This window comes from Homo sapiens, chromosome 6 (assembly GCF_000001405.40).
Source record: "Homo sapiens chromosome 6, GRCh38.p14 Primary Assembly".
NCBI classification, from domain to species: Eukaryota; Metazoa; Chordata; class Mammalia; order Primates; family Hominidae; genus Homo; species Homo sapiens.
In genome coordinates this window covers 156,547,649-156,565,497 of record NC_000006.12, presented here as the reverse complement: position 1 = coordinate 156,565,497, position 17,849 = coordinate 156,547,649, and the positions used below count along the sequence as shown (strand labels likewise).

Sequence of the window (17,849 nt, the reverse complement as noted above, 5' to 3'; positions counted from 1 at the left end):
AAAAGGAAGTTCTGACACCTGCCACACCACAGCTGAACCTTGAAAACATCGTCCTACATCAAAGAAGCCAACGCACTAGGACAAATATTGCAGGATTCCCTTTATGTAAGGTTCCAAGAATAGGCAAATTGATAGATGCAGAAAGGAGAATGGGCGTTCCTAGGGCTGGGGGCCAGGGGATTAGGGAGCTGGAATTTGATGGGTCCAGAGTTCCCGTTAGGGACGATGGAAAAGTTCTGGAGATGGATGGTTGGTGATGGTTGCCCAAGAATGCAAATGTACTTTATGCCACTGAATTGTACCTTAAAGACGGTGAAAATCGTAAATTTTTATGTTGTCTATACTCTACCACAATAAAAATAGCAAAAAAACTCCAATAACCATGGAAAGTCATGGTACAAATTCAGGTTATAATATGAAACGTCAGTTCTCTTTTTCCCAGGGTAAAAGAGACATGGAAAAGAGAGGAGACGAGGGCTGATGGCCTGTCTGTTGGTCCTTGACGTTTTCGGCTTTGCCCGAGCCTGGTGGCTGAGCAGACGCAGAACCAGCAGCCGGGGCCTGGGCCTGGCTGTGGCCCTCTGTTTACTCGTCCTATCCTTGTTTCTTCTGTAAAATGAGGCATTCATTCCAGATGGCCCTCCACGACCCCACCTCACCCCCATAGCGCCACAATTCTCAAATTTCATTCACTTTCTTTTGATCTAGCTCTGTTCTTTTAAGTAATGTCATCTTGGCTTACTTTTTATAAACACATGGGAGCAAATCGTATTTGATTATTAACTTAAAAAAAAATTAAGAACCACCAAGGTGCTATAGGTTCTGAAAAACACCCTTTCCAACGATAAACACCCCATGCAGGGCTTGGCGGCCCAGGTGGCCGAGTCGCCGGCCTTGGAGGGGGCAGCCTTGCTGCTCTTCTGCGCCCTCTGGTGGCCTCTCTCCATCACCGTCGCCACCGCACAGGATTCTTCGGGGCTTGTGCCTTGGGCTGGGTGAGGACACTCACTTGTCTGAGGAGGAGATTTACTCTGGCAAACTTGTGTCTGGTGCTTCGAGTAGAGAGATGGAAAATGACAACTTTCTATTCTGAAAGGCTCTCTATTAGTGGCCGGTGATGAAGATGCCAGAAAAAAGTGGCCCATCCATTATATTTATGTTGTGTGATATTGGACCACAGAGGGTAAAGTCAATGAGCAGAATAAGTAATTGTAACAAGCATTTTCATTCCCTTGGCAGGAATTTACTCATTAGCAGTATACCTATTTTATACGGGGAGATTAGATAAATTAGAGATTAAAGAAAGTGGAACAGATGTTTTTCCTCTGATAAGCATCATTCTATAAGAAAACTCCAGAGGGTTAGAATCAGTGCAGAAAGCAGGAATGCACATTATTTTTTGGTGCTTCCACATTTTGAGAAGGCAAAAAAAAAAAAAAATACTAGGTGGGGGGAGGTTGGGCCAGCGCAGGGTTGCACGCGTACAGCACACCGACACCTCCATTGTAACGTGACTAATAATAGAGCCTTCTGTTTTTTGAGTACGTGCTAAGTGCCTTGTGTACTTTGTGAGCTCTGTGCCAGGTGCTTTGTGGATGTTCTCTTTAATCCCTCCAGTGACAGCGGTGGGGCAGCTGTTTTGTTTCTATTTCACAGATGAGAAAGGCGGAGAGGCTCCAAAAGGGCTAATGATTGGATGGAGATTGGGTCAAGCAGTGGTTCTCAGCCGGCAGCATCATCATTGCCTGGGAGCTTGTTAGAGATGAAGATTCCAGGCCCCACCCTAGACTTCCTGAATCAGAAACTTGGTTGTGGGGTGTGGGGATCTGTACCTTTTTTTTTTTTTTTTTTTGAGATGGAGTCTCGCTCTGTCACCCAGGCTGGAGTGCAGTGCCTCGATCTCGGCTCACTGCAACCCCCACCTTTCGGGTTCAAGCAATTCTCTTGCCACAGCCTTCCGAGTAGCTGGGATTACAGATGCCCGCCACCATACCCAGCTGATTTTTGCATTTTTAGTAGAGACAGGGTTTTACCATGTTTGCCAGGCTAGTCTCAAACTCCTGACCTCAGGTGATCCACCTGCCTCAGCCTCCCAAAGTGTTGGGATTACAGACGTGAGCCACCATGCCCGGCTGTGGATCTGTTTTTTTTTTTTTTTTTTTTTTTTGGCGACGGAGTCTTGCTCTGTCACCCAGGCTGGAGTGCACTGGTGCGATCTCCACTCACTACAACCTCTGCCTCCCAGGTTCAAGTGATTCTCCTGCCTCAGCCTCCCAAGTAGCTGAGATTACAGGCGTTCACCACCACACCTGGCTGATTTTTGTATTTTTAGTAGAGATGGGGTTTTACCATGTTGGCCAGGCTGGTCTTGAACTCCTGACCTCAGGTGATCTACCTGCCTCGGCCTCCCAAAGTGCTGGGATTACAGGCGTGAGCCACCACACCCGGCCGGGGATCTGTATTTTTAAGGAGCCCTCTGGTGACTCTGATGCTGTTGAAGTTTGGGAGCCACTGACCTAGAGCACTGGTCCTCAATCCTCACTGTGCATCTGAATCCACTGGGAGGTTAAAAAACAAAGCCACAGGGGCCTGGACCCCAACCCTTGGAGCTTTGGATGTAATTGATATGGGTGGGGCCTGGGAAATTGTTCCGTGCAGCCAGGCCCCAGGCCCAGTGGGGCGGAGAAATGGCGTGGTGGGAACGGAACTCAGGGCAAGTCTTGTCTCATCTCCAGACCTCTGCTTGGAAGCAACCCGGGCCATTTCTTCAGTTCACAGCCTGCTTGGGTTGTGGGAGACCGCCGAAGACATCTCCTGATTCTACCCAGGAGTCAGAAAGGGCTAACGGCCGGGCAAACAGGTTCCACGTGGACCTGCCATTGTGTGCTCGCCAAACCCAGGGTGGGCTGCCATCCAGTTTTGGCCAGGTGGCTTGACCAGAAGTTGGCTGCTGGTCTTCTGGGGGAGATTTTGTTTTCCTTTAAGAGAGAGCTCCAGGAGGAGACAGCAGATAGACCTCACAGCCTCTCCTTCCTCTGAACTGTGTGGTATAGGGGGCAACGCCTGGCTGTTGCAGCCCTGACTCCCGGACGCTCCCATCTGAGCAAGGGGGGAGGGTGGGAAAAACCTGCCTTGACGGGGCCACCGACAGCACCGTGGCCACTCTGCCTCTGCACTTGCCACAGGAGGAAGCCTTCCCTGGTCCAACTGGAAACCCAACTCAGGTAGCCCCTCGCACCCGCTGCCAGGCAGCTGTCCCATGCCACCCCTCGTGGTCTGTGGCTCAGGTTCTGGGCTTCTGTCCTGGCTTGCTTACCTGGCAGGATGCCAGCTCAGTCACCATCTCCCCACTTGCCTGACCTTCTCCCCCTCCCGCTCCTGAGTGCGCCCTGTGTTGCCGTGTGGCTGTGTCTGCACCTGTCTTGTCTTTGTCAGTATTCACGTTTGAATTGGTCGCACTGCCCAGCACACAGTCTGGGTGAGGCTCAGTGCAGTCAGTGAGCGGTAACTCGTTCTTGTGTAATGAACACATGAAGCGGGGTGGATGCCTGCCAGACACCAGGGTTCAGCCTGGAAGGGGATTTGAAGAGACGTGTGAGTCCCCAGGAGTGGCTCAGAGTCAGGTAAGCATCTGGAGAGTGAGCCCGGGATTTCTCTGCAGTCACGATTTCCATAACCAGAGTGGCCCCCTTCTAACCCTGTTACCCTCCATTAGGGTCTTGCCTTTCTGGGAGCTGTGTTGTTGGCTCAATTCCTTGTGTCTCCACTTGTGACACAGTGAGGTGGCCTTACATATGCGTGCCTTTTCATTCTTACAGGTGCCTTCTCAGGTCCTTCCTTCCAGGTGGGAGAGAAACTCCATTTCTCCCTGCAATAAAAGCTTTATAATGGTATCTATGTAGATGGCAAACTGGCACAGGAGAGAATGATCTGTAATTATAATAACATTTATTCAGTTGTTTAGCCATTCATTTCTTAATTAGACAAATGTTTATTGAATATATACTATGTACCAGACATCAGTCCAATCAATCAGTTAATAGGAAATTAAAGTCTATTTTACAAAGTTCTGTGATAGGGACCACAAAGCATTGAGGAAAAGCTCCCAAACCAGTGATGGAGAGGGTGTTAGACAGTGTATCCCAGGAGGAGAAGGGGCCGTGCTGGGATCTGTGTGATGTGGAGGGTTTTCAGATGAAGAGGAGGGAGAAGAGAATAAGAGCAAAGGAAACAGGCTCTGCCAAAGGCCACAAGATGAGAGGGAGCTGTGAGTCTGGGGACCAGCCTGGGGTTCAGTGTCAGGGGCCAGAGTATGTGGGCGGGGGTATGGTGCCTTGCTCCCAAGTCCAAACTTCATCCCGAGCTCTCCATGTACCCATTACCCAGCTTCCATACTGATAAGTTCACAGCTGGCTTTATCTCTTCTACCACTCCCTTCCCATCTCCAAACTTAGATGATTTTGAAGCAAGGTCCTAATAACATTTTAAAAACATTTTAAAAACATTTTAACGTGTATCTCTGAAAGACGAGAACTTGCTGAAAAAACAGAACCATGATTTCATTATTGTATCAAAAAATTAACAATTCCTAAATAACATCAAACATCCAGGTGGTTCTTAAATTTCTTCTGATTTTTCTAAAAAATATTCTTATACTTTATTTGAATCAGGATCCAATAATTATATATATATTGCAATTGATTGATATGCTTCTTAATTCATCTTTCTTTTTATTTCTGTGCAGTATATTTGTTCAAGAACAGGGTTTCTTTGTCCTGTGTTCCCCACAGTTTAGATTTGCTGACTACTTCCTTGTGGTGTCATTTAACATGTTCCTCTGTCCCCTGTTCTTACTGTAAATTGGAAAGTGGGTGAGATTCAGGATTGTTTTGTAAATCTCATAGGTGGTGTCTCAATTCATAGCACTGGAGTGTCAGCAACCTTTCCAAGGTACCTTTAAAGCAAAAGAATACCCAACAGTTCTGTTGATGAAGTAGCACATTCAAAAAGCCTCAGAAGTATTTATGCTCTAACAACTTAGTGGTTTTTTGAAAATGAATGAATGTAAATTAAATGAAAAAAATTTTCATTGCATTCTTAAATATTGCAATTACTTACTAGTTGGGCACCACATGGTTTCTCAAACTTTGGAACACTGCTACCTTCATTTCTTCTTTCATCTGGATTTCTGCATGGTATGTATTTTTTTATTACTGTGATAAAATATACCTAACATGAAGTTTACTATTTTAACCATTTTTAAGTGCACACTTTAATGGGATTAAGTACCTTCACAATGTTGTGCAACCATCACCACTATCCATTTCCAGAACTTTCTCATCACCCCAAAGGGAAGTTCTGGACCCATTAAACAATATCTTCCCATTCTGCACTCCCCTAGCCCCTGGCAATCGCTATTCTACTTTCTGTCTCTGTGACTTTGACTGTGCTAGGTGCCTCATATAAGTGGAATGATACTTATCCTTTTGTGTTTGGCTTTTTTCACTTAGCATGTTTTCAGTTTTCATCCATGTTGTAGTATGTTTCAGTTCTTCCTTTCTTTTTAAGAATGAGTAATACTCCATGGTACGGATACACCACATTTTGTTTATTCATTCATCTGTTGATGGACATTTGGGCTGTTTCCACCTGTTGGCTATTGTGAATAGTGCTGCTGTGAACATAGGTGAACCAGCATCTCTTTGAGCTCCTGTGTTCACTTCCTTTGGGTATATAAGAAGGTGCTTACTTTTTATCACAGCAGTCTGGAAAACCCAGCATCACACACATATGATATCATTGAAAGGAATGTAGCTTGACTTAATGAGGAAAGTGAGAGCTACCTTGAGCTGGCAGTTTGGGGCAGTGCCTGGCAGATGTTGAGTACTGTTTTTTCTCCTCAAAAACTTCTGTGCCAGCCCTGGATGGTCACAGCAGTGTCCAGGTGCTTCAGCCACAGTTGAGTTTGGGAGTCGCATAATTATGTTTGAAAACACATCTGACTTGGAAAGGGGTGAGGAGGCTGGGGACCCGGCTGGCAGCCTTGGTGGCAATGCAGATGAGAGATGATGGCTAGAGCTGAGGCAGTGATATTGGAGATGGGGGGAGTGGCTGGATTGAGAGGTGTTGAGTGACCACAGTGATTGTCAGTAAGGTGAGTGTTTTGTGAGCAGGGGAGACCTTTTCGAGAGTTGCTAAAGCCTGGAGTCAACAGAAAAGCATTGTGTGTGGCTCACTGTTTCTTTTTGTTGTTTAGACAAGGTCTTGCTCTGTTGCTCAGGCAGCCTCCACCTCCTAGGCTCAAGTGATCCTCCAACCTCAGCCTCGTGAGTACTAGGACTACAGGAATGCACCACCATGCCCAGATAATTAAAACTAACTTTCTTTCTTTCTTTCTTTCTTTCTTTCTTTCTTTCTTTCTTTCTTTCTTTCTTTCTCTCTCTCTCTCTCTCTCTTTCTTTCTTTCTCTTTCTGTCTTTCTTTTTTTGTAGAGATGTTGTTTCACCATGTTGCCTAGGCTGGTCTCAAACTCCTGGGCTGAAGTGATTCTCCTCCCTCAGCCTCCCAAAGTGCTGGGATTCCAAGTGTGAGCCATTGTGCCTAGCCACCACTTTGCCTCTAACAGCAGCAGGCAGATCTGTCCTGCCAGGATGAGGCCATCACCAGGGCAGCCTCCATCATCACCTTTGAGTCATTCTTGAATGCAGGATCAATCCTTTTTTATCATTAAAGGCACTTGACACATAAATAAGTCTGGCAAATTGACCCATTGCTGCTTTAGTTTGGATCTTCTGCCTGGAAAGGCAGAGGAGAGATGAGTTGAGTACTGCAGGTCCCAGAGAGGTAACTTCAATTTGCAGGTGGAGATGCTGATTTCGTTAGGATACTCCCATTCACTAGAGAGTTAGAACTAAAATTTTTGTTTTTCTTACAGATTTGGTTTTAAAAATCCAGTATTTTGTCTAATTAATTCTTTTTTTTTTTTTTTCTCGAGATAGAGTTTCGCTCTTGTGGCTCAGGCTGGAGTGCAATGGCACAATCTCAGCCAACTGCAACCTCCACTTCCTGGGTTCAAGCGATTCTCCTGCTTCAGCCTCCCAAGTGGCTGGGATTACAGGTGCCCACCACCATGCCTGGCTAATTTTTATATTTTTAGTAGAGATGGGGTTTCACCATGTTGGCCAGGCTGGTCTCAAACTCCTGACCTCAGGTGATCCACCCACCTCGGCCTCCCAAAGTGCTGGGATTACAGGCATGAGCCACTACGTCCAGCCTAATTCTTTAATTCTTAATGAGTAAGTGAAATTGCCTTAATGACTTGTAGCCAGGAAACACTCAGGCTGGTGTTTCTCTTCTTGTTCCAAGAGTTATGGATAACTACCAGCTGCTTCTGATGACACTGTTAGACAATGATCATGTGACCACAGGGGTGGCTCTGATGGAACCCAGATGATAATCCCATATGTTAGGATCAATTCCTTGCTAGATTCATATGTTGCTTTTTGTCAAAAAGTCATTCTTTAGAAGCTGCAGTACTTCCTGTTGTGTTAAGGGCCTCTCTACCCAGTGAGGAGACCAGACCTGGCCTGATGAGCTGCGTGAGCCCTGCCCCTCTGTCTTTATTTGGGAAATGGGGATAGTGACGCCTATGGGACCTCCCTCATGGGGTTGTTGTGAGTCTCTGTAAGGTCATCCTTGAGGAAGAGCTTTGCAAAGCATCAAGAACCAATCAGGTAATCCCTTACATCAGGAATCTGGCCGGACGCACCCTGTAGGCCACAGAAAATCAAGGACTCAGATGCCTGGCCACGCCTCCTTAGGCAGCAGTCCTGATGTGGTGTTTCTCAGCAGCTCTGCCTTCTCACAGCCCTCCTGGTGTGAGCAGAGTTAGTGCCAGCGTTAATAGTGTTTATTTTAGAATCAACACATCCCTATACCTCATCATGCCACAAAAAGAGGCATTTAGGCTGGACCATTCCACAAATATTTATAGAACACCTCCTAGGAGCCAGGCATTGTTCTACTCTCTGCCAACACCAGGAGAACAAATAGATACTGTCCCTGCTCGTATGGAGCCCACAGTGAGGGAGAGAAAGACATGAAAAGCAACAGCACCCGTGAACAACCCCCACACTAATAAATATGTGACTAAGAGCTGTGACAAATGCCGCGAGGGGAAAACGGGGACTGTGAAGAGAGATTATGTGGCAGGAGGGCTGGAAACAGATGGCACTTCTCTGAGGAAGTGGCTTTTGGGCTGAGACCTAATGGCAAATGGGAGTTAGAGACTTTGGCAAAAATAACAGCCACATGAAGGAAGACCCAAAGGCCAGCATTGTCCAGTTTTATGATCAAGGGGACGGTGGTGGCAGCTGATGAAGCCAGAAGGGACAGCAGACATCAGGCAATGCAAGGTAGTTCTGTGGTGGTGTGGGTTTCACCTGACGTGCAGTGGAGTCCACAGAGTGTTAATAAGCAGTGCGGTGATGTGAACCCATGTGGAGAAGGGCCAATCGGGATGCTTGTGGAGGGTGGACCAGGGCAGCAAGATAGACATGAAAGCCAGTCAGGAGGCTACACCATCACTGGGTGGAGGTGGCTGTAAGTGAAGTGGTGGGATTGGAGGGACCTGGGCTGGGCTGGATACACAGGGAGGGAGAGGGAAAGGGAGGGCCGAGGACAGTGCCCAGGTGTCTGCTACCTGAAACTGAGTGTAGGAGGTCCCATTTCCTGAGGGGGACACTAGAGTCCAGGCTGGGAGCTGTGTGAGTCCCCTGGGCTGTCATAACAAAGGATCACAAAGCAGGTGGCTCAAAAACAACAGAAATGTAATCTCTCACAATTCTGGCATCCAAAAATCTGAAATCACAGCGTCAGCAGGCCCACACTGCCTTTGAAACCTGGAGGGGAGGCTCCTTCCTTACCCCTTCCAGCTTCTGGTGGCCTGTGGCAGCATCACTCCAACCTCTGCCTCCATCTTCACAGGGTATCTCTGTGTCTTTGTGTCTTCACAAGGTCATCTTTTTATAAAGATACTGGTCATATTGGATAAGGGGCCCACTCTACTCCACTATGACTGAATCTTAACCAATTATATCTGCAATGACCCTGTTTCCCAGTAAGGTCACATTTGGAGGTATTGAGGGTTAAGATGTCAAAAGATCTTTTATTGGGAGACAAAAATTCAACCCATAACAGGCACATCACCTTGGACATGCACGTAGACCTTCAGGTCAAGATTGGCCGTTGACGTCCAGAAATGATGTCTTGGTGCAGATACAAAACAGTAATGGATGAGATCCCCTAGAATGAGAAAATGCAGGGGATGAAGGGAGAGGGCCACCAAATCAGTCCCGAAGACCTGGAGGGGCCAATATGCAAAGGAAACTGAAAAGGGAAGGGAATTATGAACATGGAAACTTATTTTCTTCCATAAACTAGAAAACTTCCTGAGACCAGGTCTTAAGGATTCTAGATTTCAGAGGCTGGAAATATACTACTACTTACTGTTACTCAAAACTAATGATAAATGCAATTCAGGCTCTATTTTAAAAACTTTCAGTAATCCTTTTGTAAAGCAAACACTCCTTTTCAAATGAGAACAGCCCACCACTTAACATACAATGTTTTCAGTTTATAATTTCATCTATGAGTTGCACCCACTGAGGCCTCTTTTGCTGGACTGGGTTCTGGAAGGGAATGAAGGGCACTGTTATTCCAAAGATGAGAATGGACAGCCGTACAGAGGCCAGAACAAAATGGGTGAGATTCCGTGGTGTCTGCCTACGGGGTGGAACCTCTTTGAAACAAAATAATGTGATTGTTGAGGATCTCAGTTGAGGTTGAGTGGGTGCCAGTGTGGAAAGAGTGTGGGAGTCAGCGCCAGGTGAGTCGATGTGCCCAGTGCCTCATGTGTGCTGTCCTTGGGTGGGCAACAGTGTGATCCCCATGCTACGAATGAGGATGTGGGTGCACTAAGAGGTGAAGGGATTTACCCAACATTGCATAGTAGAGCTGGGATACTTTTTCTTCCCCAAACTTTTCCCTCCATGTGGTTTATTTGACCGCAGAGAAAGCCTTGCCTGGACTTACCCTGGGCTCATTTATGAGGCCCAGAGGCTGACCAGGCTGTGGAGTAAGCCTCAGTCTTATTTAGCCCAGGGCAGCAGAACTGGGCGGGTATCAAGGCTTCATGAATCATGTGGGGGACTTGAGATCTTTATCTGAAAACACCACTAAGTGTGTCAGGCACACTACTAAGCCTGCTGAATCAAAGTCTCCTGGTTGAGGGTAGGAGAGATTTTTTTTTTTTTTTTTGAAAATATCTGCAGTGGTTTTGCTGTACATTCTTCTTCCAGTGGACAGTAGTCTCTGCAGGACCCTCGGGGGTGGCAGTGAGGTGCTAATTGAATTGGCCCTTAGTTAAGCCTTGCTCATAGGTCTGGTTAGTTCTCAGATCATCTGAAGCTTTTGTTTAAGTCCTAGGAAGTCTTGATTTCCTTTGGGCAGGGAAGCATATGACCTGGGTGCCTACAGCAGCAGCCACAGTAGCAAGGTGCTACAGGTTGGCTGGGTGTTTGGCTGCCTGAGAAGAACCGGAGGTGATGGGCAGAGAAGTTAGAGAGATCTGGGATTGCGTACCAGCCCTACTGGCTGCGATGTAGGAGAAAATTATTTAATTTCTTTGAGGCTCATTTTCTACCTCTAAACATAAGGATATCTCTTTCATAAGGTTGAAGGTATCATGAAATAATGGAAAGCTCATTGCTTTGCTAGGATGATCAGCTCATCCGGTCTGCCCAGGAATGTTCTGGTTTTAAACCTAAAAGTCTGTGCCCTGGGAAACCCTTTAGTCTCAGCCAAATTGGGACAGTTGGTGACTCTAGGCTTGGGACAAATTAGACGCTCAATAATAAAGATGAATCACTTTCCAGTGTCACCTTCCCTGAGTTGTTACACCTCACATTGGTACACCTGCCTGTAAAGGCAGCTACACCTACTGTAAGGCAAAGGGAGGGAAGTCTTCCGTGTCCTTTCGGTGGGATGACAACGCCCTTGACAACACTGCTGAAATGACAACTCTGTAAATTCCATCTCTGCTCTAGACGAGGTTTTGTCTGAATCCCCTTGTGACATGTGTTCTGCATTTTTGCAAAATCACTGACCAGAGCTAAAGTGAAAACAGGGAGCATGGAATATGGTGGAGCTCACAGCCTCTCTGGAAGCAGATGCACCAGCCAGGTGGTTCCTTCTCATTGTATGGGTGAACAGGGCAAGGCACAGAGCTTCTGGAATCGAAATCCTCCCTGTAACAGGAGCTAAGGCAGGTTAGCAATGCCCCTAGTAATGATTCCTAGTTCTATGCATGGAAACACAGAGCTGTCCATGAGCAACCTATGTGCAGCAATAAGCTCCTGAAATTGTGCTAAATTATTTGATTTAAATACTGGTCTATCTAGGGATGAAGACCTAGGCAATGCAGATTCCCATTAATAATGAATGATTTGCTGTATTCTAATCCTGTTAAGCAGAGAGTTACTCTGCAAATGTATTAGTGGCAATGTGTGTTTGTGAATTAAGCCCTTGGTGTATCAGGTTTATGAGCCTAATTGTCTATTCAAAAGGCTATCACTTTATCACGTCATGAAAATTAAAAAGGTCTCTTTTGTTGGAGTGTTTGGCTAGTCCTCCGAATGATATTTTCTCTTTCTTCCTCATTTTCTTTTTATTGAGCTTTATTATGATTTAAATGCAACTGAAGCAAATCCTGCCGTTACACTGAAATTAATGATTAAAATAACACCGATAATGAGACATAGGTACTAGAAAATAACACATGTGGTGCCTGTGGAGGGAGATTAAACATTCTCCCCCTCACCCACCCGGATTATGCTGAAAAAGAGGCAGGGTAGGGCACTAAAAATAGGAGAATGGTACAATATATCTCTGAAATGGGAAGAGATTTAGTGGCTGTTCTACCTCAAGGAAGTGTGAGTGATTTCCACTAACATTATCATCTGGATCCCAAAATGACATCTAACGAGAAGGTATGAACAATTCATTTGATGTTATCTTAATATTAGGCACTTATATGGTTGGCAAGCCTTTCCTATTTAGCTCCTTTGTTCATTGTCTTCCAATGATGTCTTTTTCTTTTTTTGAAAGAAAAAATAACCTCTTTCAGATTAAAAAATATTGGTGGCTGGCCTCTGTTGCAAAAATAGTACTCGGGAAAGTTTTTAGTTAAATTCTGCCTGGCTGTATTTGAACGCCAAAAGAATCGATCTGTCTTTTTTGAAAGTGAAAAAATAACCTTTATTTTAGTATGTGTTTAGAAAACTCAAAGATATCTTTGTTTTCAAACTTCAACGGACTAAGGACTTGTAACTGCTTTGTTTGAAGAAATTTTCTTTTGAAAAAGAAAGTTCGGAGAGTGGAGAAAATGCATGCTCAGCACTCTCCCAAGCATCCTCCCTCCCCTTCACAGATGCTCAGAGGCAGCGTCTGGGTGTTAGCGGTAGTGGACGGGGGACTAGGTGACCCTTCAAGGTGGAGCAAGCAAGGAGGGGACCCTCGGGGGCCACTAGGAAGCGATGGGACTGATTTTACAAGCAGGTGAATGTTTGTCCTTTCAAAAATAATTTCAAAGATACTTATGTTGGGAGACCAAACGTGTTTTCCAAGTAGGCCCCAGTGGGAGTTAGAATCACAGACTCTCAAGATGGAAGGGACGTTCCAAGCCGTAGTCTAGTCCAGACACAGTATATGACTGTCTTCCTGGTGTGATAGCTTTTTTTCTAGGAAAATTTCTTTGGTGGCTACAAATTGGATAAGATACTTTAGGAGGAAAACATTTGGAGCAAAGCGATGGGATGGTGTTCTTGCATGACTCAGAGGCAGACTCTGAATGCAAATGCCATGAACAGGAGTTCATTATTGCGTGGCGTCCACATTTGAGAAGTGTATCGCCGTTGTGAAGAGCAGGGCGTGGTCTCTAGACTTAGACAGACATGATTTAAAATGTGCTGGGAAAGAGAGACTCTATGTTTGCATGTAATTGGTGCTCAGTCATGTTAGGTCTTTATCCTAAATTCTTATATGTTACACACAAGTCCCAATCCTGAATTAGAAAAAGTGAGTTTAGGTGCTGGGATGATGTGGTCAGGAAGCAGCCTGGACCACAGTCCTGAAGGGGGTGCATTAGTTACAGATTGCCTTGGTGGCTTAAAACAACCTACATTCACCATCTCACAGTTGCTGAGCCACAGGGGTCTGGGCCTTACAAGGCTCCAGTGAAGGTGCTGGCTGGGCTGAATCCGTGTCTGGAGTTGGGGTCCTCTTTCCAGCTGCTGTGGTGGCTGGCAGAATTGAGGTGCTTGTGACTGGGGGGCTGAGGCTCTGTTTCCTTGGTGGCCGTCAGGTGGGGCTGCTGTCAGCTGCTTGCCAGCTGGCTTTTTTGCAGCATGGCAGCCTACTTCTTCGTGGCCGGTGTATTAGTTTTTTATCGCTGCTATAAGAAATCACCACCATTTAGTGGCCAAAAACACCACCAGTGTATTATTTCATAATTTCCACATGTCAGAAGTCTGGGCTCAGCTGGCTTTTCGACTCCAGGTCCCAGAAAGTGTAGACAGGACTTTGATTCTTTCTGGAGGCTTTGGGGAGCTAGTGGCTTCCAGGCTCATTCAGGTTGTTGGCAGGATTCAGGTCCTTGCAGTTGTAGGACTGGGTCCCCACTGCCTTGCTGGCTGTGAGCTGAGGGATACCCTCGCCTCCTAGAAGCCCTGCACGTGGGTCCCGCATTTCAGGACCAGCAAGGGTGCGTTGAATCCCTTTCATGCTGGAAACGTCTCTGCCTTCCTTTTGCCGGCGTCTCCATGATTCCAACCAGAGAACATTCCCTGCTTTTAATGGCTTTTGTGATTAGATTGGACCCTTCTGGATAATCCAGGATAATTTTCACATTTGGGGTTCTGTAACCTTAATTACATCTGCAGACTCTTTTTGTTTGTTTGTAGAGATGGGGTCTCCCTGTGTAACCCAGGCTGGTCTCTAACTCCTAGGCTCAAGGCCTTCTCCCCCCATGGCCTCTGAAAGTGCTGGGATTACAGGTGCGAGCTACAACACCCAGCCTGCAGGGGCTTTTGTTGCCATGTGATGTAACATTACAGGCTCCTGGAATTAGAGCATAGACATCTCTGGTGGGGTGGGGAGAGTTACTCTGCCTACCACAACCGGCAAGAGAATCTCTCATTCTAGTCTGCTAAAATGGAGTTGAATTTAATGTGACAGAGTCACAGAAAGGACTGTCCAATCACCTCTGCCATTTCTCTGGGCTGGAAGCAAGTCACAGGCTCTGTCTGTACTCGGGAGGGGAGGATGCAAGAGTGTGGCTCACTGGGGTCACCTTCCCGTGTGTCCCTACAGAGCTGGAAGCTGGGTGGGGTGGGGCGTTTTGGTTGCCTGGCAGCTGTTGGACCAGGTGGCCTTTAAGACTCCTACTACAGTGAAGAAGGGACAGAGCCTTTCTTCCAGCCTTTCCAGAATATTCTTTCCCCACTGCAGTCGGGTCCTGCCCCAGGCAGCTGTCTCTTGACCAACGTCCCCATCATTCGTTTGTTACTGTTTCTCCCCACCTGTGTATAGGTTCTGCTGGGAATTTTGAGGTTTCCTGTGAAGTGGTCTGGCTGGGCCTTGCTTTTACAGTGTAGACCTGCAAACATTTACTACTGTGAGCTGTGGAAAGTGAGCCTAAGGTTTAGATGGGGGAGTTAATTAGGGTCTGAGGGTTGTGCTGGAGGACATGGGGTACTTGCCCATAAGGTCCTTGTATAGATGCAGACACTTGGCTCCATTGCCTGCCCTGTACAGCCCAGGAAGGTGACGGGGATGCTGAGAGGATGCAGGGAAGGCTGTGTGCTTCTTCCTAGAAGTGGGGCACCCAAGGCAGGCATTTAACACCCAAGGCAGTGCTGATTCTTTGCTTTCCTTGGCCTCATTCTTGTGGGTCACATTTCTCAAATCTCTTCTCCAGAAATGCTTTGCAAATCAGGACATTTCTTACTGACACTCCTAAACAATCACCGGGTGCCACACACATATTCTGTCTTTGGGTGTGGAATGAGCCTGCACCTTCCTGAGCTGATAGCTTGGCTGCAGCCTCAGTTACTGAAAACTGCATTTCTTTGTCAAGTAGAGGTTTATCACCACAGCAAGAAGGAATAGAAAAGGCCATTAAATATCAAAATACAAAAGTGTTTCCTGGATTTATATTTCCCAACAAAACACAATTATGTTCCTCCCCAAAATAGTGATACTTATTTCGTATCTTTTCTGAAATAGACTGTTTTACATTTTGTCTTATCTAGAAAACAACTAGTTTAGCGCAATGATTCTCAGCAAAAGTATTCTGTCTCCTATGCCATTTGCTTAATCTAAATGATCTATTCTATTTATGGTCTCCAGGAGTTTTGAATTGTGTGTACATGTGTGTGTTTATAGTTGGTCATTTTCGTGATAGGTGGGAGTCCAGAAATTGACCCTCTTTAAATGAATTTTATGAGATATTAAAATGTTGCCCCATCCATTCTCAATTTTGTGTAGAAAGGGGAATAGTCTAAGCCCTGAAGTAGTAACTATCATTTTGTGTTTCAATTTAAAATTCAATTCAATTCACATAGTTGCCATTTAATAGTGCTGCAAACATTTCCCCATCTCTAATAAGACACAAATTCACACATCTCCAGTGTGTCGAAAAGAGATGAGAAAAATGCAGACATACTCTTTCAGGTCTGGGTGTGAGTTCTGCCAAGACCATGAACTTGCTGGGGATAATCTCAGATGTCTAATTTATGATGAAACTCAAAGACAGAAACTGTAAAATGTAATGTGACTCTCCCGGTTCAATGGTTTCACAGGCAGATTAATTCAGAGATGTATTTAACCAGCGTAAAGTACCCGATTTTGATAGAGAAGAATAAGCACTCTAAAAGGATCCTTTAATAAATGAAGACTTATTTCAGTATCTTCTTTTGGTTCTCTGACAGAGCTATTTCATCCAAATGTCTAGTCTTTCCCCTTCATTACTGCGTCGTTCTTTAGATAGTCTCCTATCATTTTAGAAATCCCACACACTAAGATTCAGTATGATTCCTTCTCCTTCTGATCTGAATTCTCACTGTAGCTGTTCCTCCATGCTGCTCTCTCTTGTAGTAGAGACTGCCCTGTGTAGAAAGAGAAACTCAGCTGGGCCATTGGTAACTTTTGCTCACGGTCCCAAATGTTCCCACATGAAAATATACAGAGAACACAAAGTGAGTGACGTATTTGTTGTTGAATTTCTATTAAGACACATTTGCTGACTTATTAGTCAATAGCAGGTACCCCCATAGCTGGGTAGAATAAATTTAGGGGGGAGGGGACTCCCCGGTGTGCCGAGCTGCCCTATGCATGTTGCCTAATGTCCTGGGCTCTGCAGAACTTTCAAAAAATTAACACACTCACCAAATATGTTTTTCTTGCTCATTAACTTGATGAAGCCCACTGGTTTTTTAGAATCACGGCAGCAAGTTGTAAATGATGTATGAAATGAAAAATCTTTTCTCTCCCAGTGAGCAGGGAGGGAGAGCTGACAATGCTCCGTCAATGCTGCTGCCGCCTGCAGTAGCATCTAGACACAGAGACACCCCAGGACCCAACCTGTCCCAGTACCAGCAGTGAGCTCAGAAGGAGTAAGCGATGGGCCCTCAGTGACCTCCCGGTACCAAGATTTCCTTGCTCCTTCACATACTGCACTGGGGAGCTGAAGACAATGTGGCTGAATGAAATCAAGCATCTGAGCCAGGTGCCTGCTTGCTGGGAACAGGATGGCCTGAGTCCAGAGCAAACCTCTTGGGCCCACTGGTGTTTGAGGCTTTAGGAGTCAGGAGCAAATCTCTTGGGCCCACTGGTGTTTGAGGCTTTGCCCTTTGGCTTCATGCATCAAGGCTTTTGGCTTAGTTCGCATCCCATAGTTGCGGTCGGTTGCAATGTATTGTTCAGCTGCTGTTGTTCATTTGCTTGATAAACTAACAAATGTTTGCATGTGCATATACCCAGAACTGGGCCAGGCATTGTAAAGGACAAAATAAACATAAAGTAGAGATATATCCAATATAAAAACCCAGCTTCTGCCCTCCAACTGCCGACAAGCCAGTCAGGTGAGAAAATAATTTACTTAATTAACATCTTTTCCTCAAATAGGATAATTTTATTCTTATTGTTGCCCTTGTGGTGCCATCATAGTGTTTCAGGCATCGTAATGGAAAGTGTATTAGTATATGTTTACCCACTTTTGTAAATAATGCGTGTTCATTGCTTTAAAAAGGGGGTTGAAGCCTAACGATGAAGGAAGGCAGTTTTCACAGTGAGACAGTAAATGCCTCACTGAAGGGAGGCATTTACGGGCCTCCCCCCGTAAATGGTATCATCTCAATTTACCACCGTACCCACACTTACTCAAGAACAGAGTCTGTTAAGACGGCAGAGCCCGGCAATTGCGTAAAATTTACAACTTTATGGGCAGAGGTTCAATTCCTCTTCTTAACAACGTGCCCATAGCCAACCTCCTACTTCTTATTGTACCTATTCTAATTGCCATAGCATTCCTAATGCTAACCGAACGGGATGTGTCTCCCCGGATGCACCAACATGAACCAATGTTAACTGGTTGACATTAACCAATGTTAAACTCCAAAAGGCTGATGTATACACCAGAATGCCAGTTTATTGTTTTGAAACGTGCACATGACCTGGGAAGGTGCCTTGTAGTCAGCGGGTCGTGTGGGTGAGCATGCACTTCTAACAGGGGG

The 17,849-nt window shown here is 45.7% G+C and overlaps 1 pseudogene, besides 1 other annotated feature; it reads left to right on the top strand.

The window, feature by feature from the left end:
- Window positions 979–1,228: an enhancer, noted in NCBI's record as "active region_25310". NCBI's record gives its function as "activates an Ori minimal core promoter by ATAC-STARR-seq in GM12878 lymphoblastoid cells {active_cell/tissue: GM12878}" and the evidence as "EXISTENCE:reporter gene assay evidence [ECO:0000049][PMID:35858748]".
- On the top strand, window positions 17,512–17,586 carry NMTRV-TAC1-1 (nuclear-encoded mitochondrial tRNA-Val (TAC) 1-1; annotated as a pseudogene).